The following is a 15371-nucleotide window of genomic DNA, read 5'->3' on the forward strand; positions in this document are numbered from 1 at the left end:
AAATGGAAATGAGGCAAGTGCTGCCATGAGAATGTCTCCTGTGGAGAAACAGGAATTGTGCCTAGTCAAAAGCTGTGATACTTTTGCCATGTGAGATTGGTTAAACTATTAAAGTTGGGGAGGGGTGGAATGTGTTCAGGGAAAAAAGAAAAAAAAAGCGCTATCCAGAAGCAGAAGCAGTATTGTCCCTAGGAACAGACCAAAAAAAAAAAAAAAAAAAAAAAAAAAGCCTCCTGGCAAGGCAAGCCAGCTGAAGGCTCAGCTGTGTTTGTACTAACAGCCTTTCTGCTGATCTGACCTCTCCAGAGACCAGAAGGCTATAGGCTCCCCTCACAGTGGTTATCATCTTGTTTTCAAAAACTACAGACTGTATTGCATCCAAACCACAGGTTCTTCTGAGTTGGAGATCAGTATATTAGGTTAAAGCTGAAATCAGGGAAATATTTTAGCTCATATACCTCTGCAATTCATTCCCTAGGGAAGGATGAAGAAAAAGAGCTGAAGATATATCACTAAATAAATGTTAACTAGGTCAGAATTCACTATAGAAGTTTTTCAAAATTCTTGGGCTTACTGTTTTAGTCTATTTTCTGTTGCTTATAACAGAAAACCTGAAACTGGGTAATTTAAAAGAAAAGGAATTTATTTCTTACAGTTATGGGGGCTGAGAAGTCCAAAATCAGGGGACTGAATCTGATAAGAGCCTTCTTCCTGGTGTGAACTCTCTGGAGGGTCCCAGGTGGCACAGGGTATTGCTTGGTAGGGGACTGAGCATACTAGTATACCAGCTCAGATCTCTCTTCTTTTTCTTATGAAACCACCAGTTATCTTCCCATGATAACCCATTAATCCATTTATTCATGATTAATGCATTCATGAGAGCAGAGTCCTGTTAAAACCCCTGGCTCTCAATATTACCACATTGAGGTTTAAGTTTCAGCATGACTTTTGGAGGGGACAAATATTTGAATCATAGTTTTTACTATGAGAGCTTTAACTGAGCTCTGCCAAATTTCCACAAAAGGAAGCTGCTTCATTACTCTTTCATAGGAAGAAAAAAATCCCTAGAGTAGATTCTACAAAGACACATGACCTTATTCAAGGCACACATTTCAATACATACATCATCGTTTGACTGTAAGTCTTGCTAACTCCTGGTGAAATGCAAAAGCATTTCAGAGCAGTAGCAAAAGCCCTTAAAATGTTACCTAAGTACTGGTTGAGTAGATTAAATAGCACCAACCACAGAAATTAAAATAAAAGTTTGGATATTTCTATCCTGAAGGGATATAGTAAAGAATTAGGAGACAGCTAGACAAACACTCTAAAGTCTGGAATCTAATCTCCGTGTCTTTGATCCTCTGAACATTCTATCTAATGCTCTCCATCAGAACATTACACAATCTTGTCCTGCCTTCACAATCAAATTTTTAAAGCAATAATTTACTCTGGCTGGATTTCTAAACATTTCTATATATGTGCTGTTTATTCTTCAACACACTTTAACATTTTTTCCACCCTGACCCGTTCACTAAGACTCTTCTTACGGATATCAAAATACTTCCAGTGGTTAAATTCACATCTTATAATATTTCCCACAACCATTTGCTCATTTTCCCTTTAAGAAACCCTCTGCTATCAGGGCTTCCACAACCCAAATAACTCCTATATTTCCCTCACTTCCTTAAAATCTCTTTTTCAGAATTATTTGGGAGCACATTTCTTCTGCCCGCTCCTTAAATGTTGGAGTTCCCCAGAAGCTCATCTGTCTGCATGACTTCAAATCCCAAAGCATTTGTTTTCGGCCTACATTTCTCTCTTCAGAAAGTACATCCAATTTCTTCTGAAAAACTCTGCTTATAAATTCCATGAATATCACAGCAGTTATCACAATACCCAACATTCAATAGAAATTCAAAAAAATTGTATGAGTAACTGAGTAAACACATAGATGACTCTCTTTTCCTCTTATATGAATGAGTTGACTATTTTCTGAAGTCTCATGTGGTCATTGTTTACTGTTTGGGTACCTATATTTATCTATCTCCCCTGCAGGATTTTTTAGGACAAGGACTGCTGTCTTCATATACCCTATGGCTATGGCAGTGCCTTGTACAGTGTTAGCTTCTCATCAAATGTTTCTTACTAAATATGAATGGATAAACATATTACATATGTGGATTTAAAAAATAAAATTCATATTTTAAAGAGCCATTTAAAATAAATTAAAAATTAAAATAAGATCTAGAAAGCCTAATCTTGCCTAACACCCTCCTTTTATAGAAATGATAAACCAACTTACTTACAGAGCTAGGTAGTAGCTATTGTTACTGGAACCCAGGTCTTTCACCTCTGAAGCTTCTGATATTTTGTATATAATAGTTACATTCACTTAATTAGCAAAACAATGATCAATCATAAATATTAAATTTTTCCTTTTGAGTGTCCTCTCCACAGATTCCCTGGGTCTTTCTAATTCTCTTAAATCAAGTTACAGTAAAAAATTATGGAGTCCCTACTATCTACTGGGCACCCATATACATTAGGTCTTTTGACTCTCATACCAACCCCACAATATAGTTACTTTTATTTCCATTTTACAGATAAGGAAGTACGTTGCCTATGGTCACAGAGTCTAAAAGTTGCAGAGCAGAACAAATACATGCAAATCCTGTCCTGTTGATAGTATACTCTGCTGTATCACCTAGATACAGTACTGCGGTACATTCTTACCCAAGCCATAATCCTCGTGGGCTCTTGGAAGATATGTGTGTCTTTCTGTTTTTGAACAGTTGACCCCACTAAGAAAGTAAGGAACACTATATTCCTTTTATTGCCCACAGTCAGACCTAACAGCAGGTAAGAAGTGTGGGTTTTTCCTAAAAGTTCAATCAAGATTTCATGAAAATGTTTAACTTTTCACAGCAAGATGTAAACTCTTTTAAACATCCCATAAGATGTATAATACAGCAGCAATTTGTTTAGTGAGTATGAGATATAATGTGAAATTAATATTGTTCTAACACTCTCCAAAGAACACATCTGACAAGCGGGAGACATTCCAAGATCCCTGTCTAACTGTCGCCTTTCATTGGTGCTAGGATGTTTCCCTTTTTTTAGTTTAATGTCCTCAAAATTCTCAAAAGCCTTTCCTTAACATAGTTGTACATCAAAGTTTTCATACATGAGAAAATAATTTACTTTCAGAAAATTATAACTTTCCATGTGTCAGCTCTTATTTTAGAAGCTGAAGCCCATATAGCTCATAGTTGAGTGCAATTATTGTTTGTGGGAAAGAAAGCCAATTAACCTTTCTAGGAAATAATATCACAATTAAATCTTCAATATGCTGCACTGTAAATACTTCCCAACAATGGACTTTCCTTTTGAGTTGTTATAAAATATTTAGCTAGAAATTGATGCAGCAAATTCTCAGCAAGGTTGAAATTCAAAACAAGCTACTTTCTTCCTTATTTCAATAAAGAAAAAGTTTTAAACTCATTTACTTATTTTAAATGAGCTCATTCTTAAAAGAACAAGGAAAAAAGGAAATATGGCCATTCCAATGCAATAAAAAGTGAAGGTGATATACAGTAATAATGGTGAATGCTGAACCCTACAGAAACCATTGTCATTACATAAACCATTGTCACTACCATTATATAAAAGAATATAATGAATTACCCATATTTTCTGTATTTTTTTTTACTAAATTATGGATTCCATAGTGATTTCCATCTTTGCATTAATAGTCTGAAGTTATTAATTTCCCCATAGAACCATACTTCCCATATATGCAAGTAAATTTGAAAATCAGCAGAAATATCAAGTAAATTGGAAAACAATCAACTTCACAGTATTCTCTGGAATCAGTAGAAAACAGACTCTTTTTTGTTTCATTTCCTTTTTAGACAGGCAATGTAGTGTGCTGGAAAGAGAGTGGGTTTAGAAATGGATAGATTCAGATTTGAATCTAGGCTCTGCCAGCTGATGAGTATGACCTTGGACAAGGTCATACATTTTGCTAAATGATTTAATTCAGGCAAGGTATGCAAACTTTTATAAACTTTGAGTTTTTCATGTATTAATGGAGCTAATTATAGCTATACCTATGGATAATGTGGAGATTACAGTCGATCAATTGTATAAAGCACCTGGTACACAATTGATGTTCAGTAATTATTGCTTCTTTTTCCTCATTTCTGTTTAAATCCCTATGGACAGAAAATTATTTAAAGACCAAAATCAGTGATTCTTCACCATATATCACCTTTGTGAGTTCCTCCCTTTTATGGAAAAAAATTGCATTTTGCATAAACGTACCACAAAAAGACTAGAGAGATTGTGAGTTCTAATCATGTAGTCTCATATAAAAGTTATGATACTAGAGAGATGTAGGCTTTATCTTCTTTAGTGGGGGGAATTGCAAAAAGAAAAATAAAAGGAAACATTTTGAAGTTTAAATCTCAAAATATCAAAAAAAAAAAACATTATATGGACATCAAGGTTGTTTATATGTGAATTCATGGTGAAGCATGTTGCCTTCTGAGGAAGGTTCTTCCTCTAGGACCTTCTGTGTTTCCAACAAGCAAGTCCCTAGGTAATACTGTTTTATATATATACCCTTAAAAGGATTTAGCATATGATCTCTTTATCACATCCAAACTTAACGGAAGAAATCTAGTAACCACCTACAGACTAAAAAAAAGATCTTAAAGATCATCTATCTACTCCAGTCTCCCACAGATTGCCACCAAGCCCGAGCTTGAAGACAAGCTTCACAAGCTTATTGCTGTTTGTAGGAAAGAAAGCCAATTAACCTTTCTAGGAAATTATATTACAATTAAATCTTCAATATGTTGAGTAGTAAATACTTCCCAGCAATGGACTTTCCTTTTGAGTTGTTATAAAATCTCTAGCTGCAAATTGACGCAGCAAATTCTCAGCAAGGTTGAAATTCACAACAAGCTACTTTCTTTTCAAAAGAAATTCAAAGCAAGCTACTCTAGCGTTTCAGGTGGGCCAGTTCTTTATGAGTTCTAAATACTACGTTCTTCTTTTTGTTGAACTGAAATCTGTCTTACAACTATTTTTTTTTCCAATAGATTCCAGATCCTTCCCATTGAGCAACAGAATACAGGGGCTCCCTCTTCTATGCTGTAGTAGCTATCCATTCTCTTTCTTTTCCTCAGAACCCAGCACCCAAGTTTTTCTCTGGAATATTACCCCTCATCAAATTGTAGTACATTTGGGTCTGGTATTGTTGATTGCTACTATCTCCAGGGGTGGGCCTATGATTCAAACATGAACACATAGCACTCCCAAGACCGTAGTTATTATTTCAGGAAAGAGCACAAAGCCTAATTCAGGCCAGCAATTTTACTTTGAATTGTTGAGCAAGAGAAACACTCATTGTTTCAGTGATCTTGGAGGTAGAGATCCTCTGACCACCATCTTGCCCATGGGAAGCAAGAGTCTCTCTGGAAATGGAGCCAACATACACTAAGGAAGAAGAGAAAGAAAGAGTGACTGGGTCCTGAAATATACAGCCAAATATGAAAGCAGATTACTTCCTGCACTTTTCAGTTGTATAAGTAATGCATTCTTTTATTTTCCACCTTAATTTTGCTTGGGCTGCATTTACTGTCACTTGCAGCCAAAACAATCTCGACTGAAAGCACATATCAACGTTCTATATATATTTGAAGATGGATGCTACTTCCTCTCCAGAATTTTATATTATTTTAGACAAACATTCTCAGTTCTTTTCATTTCTGCTTATATTAAATAAGTTTACAAAATCTCTTTCAGATTTGGTTTCTGTGTTCTTCAATGTCTGCTAAATTAAAAATAAAAATTTAAAAAAATTGTTGACATAAAAAGCATATAAAATATACAAAGAAACTTTTATTCAATTTCATAAGAATAATTTTAAACACTTTAGAAATGCTGCTTCATGTCATTTAAGATAGCAACTTTAATCTTTGTTAGTTCATCAATAAATCAGGTTTCCAAATGACCTCTATGTGGTCATACTTTCTTTATTTCTTTCTTTATTTTTTAACTTTTAGGTTCAAGGGCACAGGTGTAGGTTTGTTATATGGGTAAACTTGTGTCACAGGGGCTTGTCGTACACATTATTTTGTCATCCTAGGTACTAGGTACTAAGCCTAGTGCTCAACAGATATTTTTTCTGATCCTCTCCCTCCTCCCAGCCTCCAGCCTCCAGTAGGCCCCAGTGTCTATTGTTTCCTTCTTTATGTCCTTGTGTTCTCATCATTTACCTCCCATTTATAACTGAGAACATGCGGTATTTGGTTTTCTATTCCTGCATTAGTTTGCTAAGGATAGAGGGTAATACTTTATTAGCAACTCAAGTTATCACATATTTTTAAATAATCCAATTACATCTTTTTTTTTAATATTTCATGGTTGTAATTATTTTTTACCAACTTAAAAGAACTATCTCCAATTAATTCAAAACTCTAAAGTTCTCTACTTAACTAATTAAGTATACTTTACTCTGTGCAATTTGATCCTATATTTCAAGCACATAAAAAAACAGAAAAGTCATAGTCCCTTAACTTAAGGGTCTTATACTTACTGAGTTAAAAAGTTTAAATCTCATAATCACCATTACCACCATCAACCACAGGGCTACCATTCATTTACTGAGTGTTTAGAATCTGACAGGCTTGGTGCAAAGCACTTTGCATATACGGTCTCATTTAATCCTCTTAATTTCATGACACAGTATTGTTTTCACCAATTTATAGAGAAGAAAAGTAAGGCAGAGAGTAGTAACATGTACAAAGTCATACAACTTATAGATGACAAAGTTAGTAATCAAAACTAAGTCTGTTTCTAAAGTTCATGTTCTTACCCATGTTGCAATTTTGCCTCCAATCTCTATAATACTAAGTAGGATACATGCAAGCAACCTTCTAAGGAAACTATAATGAGGGAAACAAGCACTTCTGCTTGCTAGCAAGACTTTTTAAAGGTATGATTTTATAATGAGTTTATTTCTTTCAAACTAGGAAGGTAATTGAACAGACTTAAGAAAAATCAACACATTAAACATATGCTTGGTATTTATGTTGAAAATACATTCCAAACCTTTATGACAACCAGGACTTTATGGAAAGTCTTTTTGTTTCTAGATTACCTAAGATGATGGGTGGGACTGTCCCTGAACAGATCGTGAAAATAATTATTTGTGCCTAGTTTCTCTTTTCCATGTTCCTTCACCTTCCAGATTAGGCATGGTATTACTTCCTCATTTCTTAATATAAATGCATCCTTTTGTCCTTTTGTTTTTCTTCCTTAAATCTAAAGACACTCCTTTTTCAATATCTATCCTTAGAAAGAATCCTGGGGTACTACAATCTACACTTTAGTCTGTATTTATGTCATTGTCATTATTCCCAAGACTTATAGCCTTATTTTTGGTTATGAAATAAAAGTCTTTACATTTTTTTTCAAGCATCAGTCAGTAGACCAGACTTGGTGGTGTAGAAATCGATGTTGAGGAATGCCTCCAAAGTTGCACTGCATAAACAACCAAAGTATGCACCAAACAAGTAAACTGGGTGCTGATGACAAACTACCTGCCTGCTTTCCTTCTCAGGGCTCTTCCTTCTTCGTTGGTCCCATTTTCAAAGAAGCTCTCACTTCCATTTGTGTGGACAAGATGGTGGTCAGAGGCTAATTACAGTCTTTTCTAAATCTCTTGCAATGTTATTAACAAGGAGAACAAGAATTTTGTCTCATAGCTTGCATTTTACCACCTCCCCATTGATAGAGGTGTTAATGAGCAGTGAAATGACCAAAAGGCATACAATGTGTAGATAATTCACCTGTTGAGAAAGAGATACTGAGTAAATAGCATTTCTAATCTACAATTATTATTTTGAAAAGGAAGCAATCAGTATCTCATGATATTCATTACTGGATATCTAACAGTGAGTAGCATGCTAAAATTGGACAAAACTAAGCACACAGTTTTGGTCAGATAATTTTAAATCACATTTCTCTTTGACATCTCCTCTCCACAATTTAGACATAGATATGGCAAATTCAAATGGAATACATTAAAAAGAGCCATATGGGGGAAGGCATGCAAGGAATGTTAATGTTTTATGGCATCTTACAATATGTCTCTGAAACTGAGTTTCAGTTTGTTCAGTTTGATATTGTACTAATATTACAAACATCGCATTTCTTTAAAACAATCTTGTCCAACCCACCGCCCACAGGCCAGATGCAGCCCAGGACTTTGTGTTGGGCTTTGAATGCAGCCCAACACAAATTTGTAAACTTTCTTAAAACAGTGAGTTTTTTTTGTGATTTTTTTTTTTTTTTAGCTCATCAGCTATCATTAGTGTATTTTATCTGTAGCCCAAGACAATTCTCCTTCCAGTGTGGCCCAGGGAAGTGAAAAGATTAGACACCCCGGCTTTAAAAACATCCAAAAGATTAATATAAAGACCTAAAGTAGACAATACTTTTTAAGAAAGGTATCACTTCAAACATTTGTTACAGTATGACCTGAAAATGTTGATAATGTTCTTAACAAGGTCTTGCCATTTGAAGTTTTCTCGTCTGCTATGGCACTTAGGGAAACCATGAACAAAACAACACAAACATCAAGGCTGAGCTAGAAACACATCCTGTTGAGCAAACCAAGGGTTTTTCATGATTTTAATATGTCATGTGTGCATATGCTGCTTGTCACTTGGCAAGCCTTTTTTAATGTCTTAACAGACTGCTAAGGAAGAACAAGTGTTCTGTTTTTTTGTCAGATGTTAGGCATTCTGGGGGACATTTTAAAATTATGTAGGTTCAGCTTGCTCTATCCCAAATTGAGGATATAACATCTTTTTAAAAATCTGCTCCCTTTCGTCTATGTACTAACAAGCAGTATGAGGTTGTCATCCCTCATTGGAGGGTGGATTACCTGTTAACAGGAGTTAAACAGCCAAATCCTGAGCTTCGGCAGGGAGAACATGCTGCCCAGGAAGCATAATGGCCCCTGGGTCCCAACTGAACAGAGAAGTCTGTTCACAAAGAGGACCTAACTTGGAAATCATTCCTTCTTTCAGAAACAAGAGCTTTTAAAGCCTAGAATACTGCCTTATACATAACAGGTGATCAGAAAATATTTGCTGAGTCCATTCCTACCTTGAATAGCCTGGGCCAAAAATGTCATTAGACATTGGACAGGGCAGAAAAAGGGATATCCCCACTAGAACCAGAACAGAAATAATGCTCCTATGCTACAGAATCTTGATTTGCAAGAGTCCTTGTGAAGAAGAATTAAAAATTCATTGAGCTGCCTACTGGGTGGCATTTATAAGTCATGTTTGACGTCTTTTCTATGCATACGTTTCTCTTGGAGCACCTTACTGTGCAGTGCTGATTTATTACAATGTGATTTGTCTCAAATACTTTTGTATTTAAATATGCAAATCTATTTTAAGATTGAGCAGTACAGCTCCTGCATATTGTTCTCATGGCCAGTGAGGCAGTACAGCGGAGCAAATATTAGCAAATGCTCTCTGCCATTGAACACTGAGCCATCACATTGTGCTTTCCTCAGCTGAACTGATGCTCACTGATGCATTTGATTACCCTACAGTAGCCTCACTTCCCTGCTATTGTTTTGTTTTCTGATGAAGTGTTAATCCAAAATGGGTGACAAAGACAAGAAAATGTAAATATGCTGCAGAGACTGCAAAATTCCAATGTGTAATAGCACCCTGGATATTAAAATACAAGTTTAATAGCAGGTCCAGTCACCTCTAAGCAATGGTCAAAGAAAGAAAGGTAACAATCAGCAACAATTGTGGACTGAAAATAGTTATTTAACATGATAAAGGGAAGCATAAACATCATTGCTGTCTTGGAAGTTGACAAACATCATTATATGAACAAAAACTGGAACAAATAGCAACTAGATACATACCAATATTTTAAAAGATTTGAAGAGAATGAAAGCATGAGGTATGATTCTGGGAACTTATCAACATTAGAATTGCAATAATTCAATTAGTGCTTCAATTTACAAGGTGCATCTCATACACCCTCCCAATACACACACAGTGGAAAGAGTATAGTTCTAATTGAATAGTATAAGAGTCAAGGCATCTCAATAATCCTTCACTAACTTAAAAATTCCTTCCAACTATTGTTATACATATATTAAAACAATTGTGTGAAACTTGACTGACAAAAAGGGCTTCTGGAAATGCTGGTTGATCCTTAGGATTCATGTTATGTTCGAGGCATAAATGCTAGTCCATGGAGTAGAATGGTAATTGTTTCTTCTGATGCTTCTTTTGGTGAATTTGAAATGCAAACTTTTGCCATTTGCTTTCTACCTTCAAACATCTCCCCATTGCCTTTCAATCCAGCTTATTTGATTCCTTCTGTGGGTTAGTCCTAGTGCCCTAGGAATATATGAGTAGACTTTTGAAGTCTCTTCTAGAGACATGATGCTATGACCCCTCTCTGTTACCTCTTCTATTCATGGTCTGATGAGATTCCCAGTCAGTGGTGCTTAGTGACTGCAATATAAATTTTTGTTATTCTAGTATATCATTCTATTTTTATCTTCTGAAATATCATACTTCACTTGATATGATGCATTTTTTCAGCCTTTTAAAAATCTAAAACAAAAATTACTTACATACTGAGATATACTCACAGAGTTATGAGTTTAGTGAAGCCACTAAAATTCAAATTGAACAAAGTTTCACCACTTATAAGTATTCTTCTGTAACTTCTTTATTCTTCAATGGGGTAGAGCATAAATTTGAAAGCAATCAACAGAGCAAAGCTTCTACTGCAAAAATAATTCTTACCCTATATCAAAGATTTCTGAACAAGTAGAATATACAAATTAAACTGATGAGAAAACATATGCTTTGACTCTGTGTCCCCACCCAAATCTCATGTTGAATTGTAATTCCCACTGTTGAAGAAGGGGTCTAGTGGGAGGTGATTGAATCCTGAGGGTAGGCTTTCCACTTGCTGTTCTAGTGATAGAGTTCTCATGAGATCTGGTTGTCTGAAAGTATTTAGCACCTCCCCCTTCTCTCTCTCTGTCTTCCTGCTGCTCCCTCCATGTGAAGATGTGTCTGCTTCCCCTTCACTTTCTGCATGATTGTAAGTTTCCTCCCCAGAAGCAGAAGCCTGTATAGTCCACAGAACTGTGAGCTGATTAAACCTCTTTCCTTACGAATTACCCAATCTCAGGTATGTCTTTATAGCAGTGTGAGAATGGACTAATGCAGAAAATTTGTTCCAGGCATGGGGCAATGCTATGATACCTGAAAATGTGAAAGTGACTTTGCAACTGGGTAATGGGTAGAGGTTGGAACAGTTTGGAGGGCTCAGAAGAAGATAGGAAGATGTGGGAAAGTTTGGAGTTACCTAGAGACTTATTGAATTGTTGTGACCAAAATGCTGATAGTGACATGGGCAATGAAGTCCAGGCTGAGGTTGACTCAGACGGAGTTGAGGAACTTCTTGGGAACTAGAATAAAGATCATTCTTGCTGTGCTTCAGCAAAGAGACTGGTGGCATTGTGTCTCTTCTCTAGAGGTCTATGGATCTTTGAACTTAAGAGAGATGATTTAGGGTATCCGGTGGAAGAAATTTCTAAACAGCAAAGTGTTCAAGAAGTGACCTGGCTGCTTCTAACAGCATATGCTCATATGTGTTTGCAAATAAATGGTTGAAAATTGGAACTTATATTTAAAAGGGAAGCGGAGAGTGAAAGTTTGGAAAATTTGCAGCCTGACCATGTGGTAGAAAAGAAAAGCCCACTTTCTGGGGAGGAATTCAAGCCTGCAAAGTTTGCATAAGTAAAGAGGAGCTGAATGTTAATATCCAAGACAATTGGGAAAATGCCTCCAGGGCATTTCAGAGAACTTCACAGCAGTTTTCCCATCATAGGCCTGGAGATCTAGAAGGGAAAAATGGTTTTGTGAGCTAGGCCCAGGGCCCTGCTGCTCTGTGTATCCTTGGGACAAGGTGCCCTGCATGGCAGCTGCTTCAGCTCCAGCCATGGTTAAAAGAGGCCAAGGTACAACTTAAGCCATTGTTTCAGAGGGTGCAAGTGCCAAGTCTTGACAGCTTTCACATGGTGTTAAGCTTGTGGGTGCACAGAGAGCAAGAGTTGAAGCTTAGGAGCCTCTGCCTAGATTTCAGAGGATATATGGAAATGCCTGGATGGCCAGGCAGAAGTCTGCTGCAGGGTCAGAGCTCTCATGGAGAACTTCTACTAGGGCATTGCAGAGGGGAAATGTGGGGTTGGAGCCCTGACATGGAGTTCCCAGTGGGACACTGCCTAGTGGAGCTGTGAGAAGAGGGCTACCATCCTCCAGACCCCAGAATAATAGTTCCACCAACAGCTTTCACTGTGCACCTGGAAAAGCCACAGGCACACAACACCAGTCCATGAAAGCAGCTGAGGGGGCTATACACTGCAGAGCCACAGGGATAGAGCTTCCCAAGGCCTTGGGAAGCTTCGCATCAGTGTGGCCTGGATGTGAGATACAGAGTCAAATAAGATTATTTTGGAGCTTTAAGATTTAATGACTTCCCTGCTGTGTTTAGGACTTGCATGGGGCCTGTAACCTCTGTTCTGGCCAATTTCTCCCTTTTAGAATGGAAGCATTTACCTATTGCAGGTACCTTCATTTTATTTTGAAAGTAACTAACTTGGTTTTTATTTTATAGGCTGCTCATAGGCAGAAGGGACTTGCCTTGTCTCAGATGAGACTTTGGACTTGGATTTTTGAGTTAATGCTGGAATGAATTGATTTTGGGGGCCATTGAGAAGGCATGATTGTGTTTTGAAATGTGAGAAGGACATGAGAATTGGAAGGGGTCAAGGGTGGAACAATATGGTTTGGCTCTGCATCCCCACCTAAATCTCATGTTGAACTGTAATTTTCAGTGTTGAAGGAGGGGCCTGGTGGGAGGTGACTGAATCATGAGGGCAGACTTCTCACTTGCGGTTCTTGTTATAGAGTTCTCATGAGGTCTGGTTGTTTGAAAGTGTGTAGCACCTCCCCTTTTTCTCTCTTTCTTCCTTCTTCTCCCTCCATGTGAAGATGTGTCTGCTCCTCCTTCACCTTCCACCATGATTGTAAGTTTCCTGAGGCCTCCCCAGAAGCAGAAGCCTGTACAACTTGCAGAACCATGAGCCAATTTAACCTCTTTTCTTATAAATTATGCAGTCTCAGGTATATTTTCATAGCAGTGTGAGAACAAACTAATACAGTAACTCTGCATAAGATTATCTATACATGATGATAACAAAAGAGAAATACAGTGAATTACAAACCAGAAATACTTTGAAATAAAACTACAACCTGATTTCAACAAAAGTTTGCAGTTTCTGGGGAAAAAAAAGTTGTTTAAAAAAATTTCAAAATCATCAAACAAGTGATGGGATTATTTAAAGGTTAAAAATGCTAAAGGAAAATATCTGGCACTAGTTTGTAATTCTCTTCACCATTTCCCTACTAGTGTAGAATTAGAAAGGGCTACTTCAGCAGCTAGAAAAGTTGTAAGAAAATATACTCACAAATAATATTACTGCTTGTGCACTTTGTTAAGATCATATTTTTTAAAAAATTCAAGTAATATATACTGTTATCAAACAATATATTCCACATGTATGTCCAAATAATATATTTAATATAATGCAATTATTATTTTATTAATATATTGTAATTTTATGATAAATTATATTTCATTTTTGGGATATCTAATTTTATTTGCTAATAATGTTTATAACCCATCTTCTAATAAACATCTGACTTTTATATTTCTCATAATTTTTACTTAACTTTTAAAATTAATTTACACCTTCTTGCATTTGACCATATCAAATAATATGTCATTAATATTTTGAAACACTAATTCTGGATACTATTAAAATAAAATGTCAGTGTTTATATTTATACTTTGATATTAACACTATATAAATACTAAAACATTGATATTGTCATTTTATTCTGGAATTGAAATGACTAGAAGTATGTTCTTCCTCCAGTTCTTAACAATTTGAGTTCAGAGAACAGTTGCTCACCAACTCCCTTTTTATCTCCTCTCTTGAGAGAGAGGGCTTTGAAAGAAAGGGAAGCAGCTCTTCCTCATCTGCTATCAGACACCTTTAGTCTAAAAGAATAAAGGAAGCCATCGATTGTGTATGTCCATAATGTGCAGGAACAGGATAAGAAGTCATGAGTCAAGTGTGCAGGCCATTCTCCTTCACCTGACTCTTCGTGATCATGTAACCTTCCTTCAAGAGCTACTGAGAAAAAGTGGCTTCTCAGAGCCATTCTCACAATGATCACTTAAAGTGTTGTATTAATCAGAGTGAAGGTTTGCTGGAAAATGGAATCTTTATGAGATTTCAACATCACATTTCATTACCAGAAAAAAAGTCAAAGTAAAATTACCTCCTGAGTTCTAGATAATAAAGTTGCCCCAGGCAGGATTCCCTACTGTAAGCAACTGACACTGACTCTGGCTATCTTAAGCAGAAAAAAAGATAATTATTAGAGAACTATGGACTAGCTTGCACAATCTATGTGGACACTTCAAAAGCAAGGCTCAAAAATCCAATGGGAATCAAAGGATCAGGTAGCCTACATCATAACACAGTAACTCTTGGGTGAGAATATTAACCAGGGTAGCACACATGCCAGTGAATTATTGCACTGCACTGCATGCTACTGTCCGTGAACTCTAAATCACTCCTTTAGTTTTGTATTCTTTATAAGTCCTGAGCAGGAATATCCAACCAATAAAGAATAGATCTTATGTCTTCACTCAAAGAGACCCTGCCAACCATCGTACAATTAGGGAATATCCTCAAACAGGAAAGAGTGTGAATGCTTGGGAGGCAATAGGCAACAACAACAAATGTCCACAGGGAGCTCTAGATTTCCATTTCACCATGTTTGGGCTATTTTAAAAGAAATGTTAGAGTTAAAATTGCCTCTTTTTTCTTGAAGTGGGATGTATTTCAAGACATAGACGCACAAAGAGCTAGGAGTGTCCAGCAGATGGGGAAGCTGAAATGTTAAGGCTTTTGAATTCTAGGGTTTGAGTTCAATGTTCTCAAAATATGTTGATCATCAAATCCAACTTCCAGGGACTTTGGACTTTTGTGAAAGACTAAATAATGTCTTTTAAAAAGCAAAATGTAGGCTGGGTGCAGTGGCTCATGCCTGTAATCCCAGCACTTTGGGAGGCCGAGGTGGGAGGATCACCAGAAGTCAGGAGTTCAAGACCAGCCTGGCCAACATGGCAAAATCCCGTCCCTACCAAAAGTACAAAAATTAGCC

Source organism: Homo sapiens, chromosome 5 (assembly GCF_000001405.40).
Source record: "Homo sapiens chromosome 5, GRCh38.p14 Primary Assembly".
Lineage (NCBI taxonomy): Eukaryota > Metazoa > Chordata > Mammalia > Primates > Hominidae > Homo > Homo sapiens.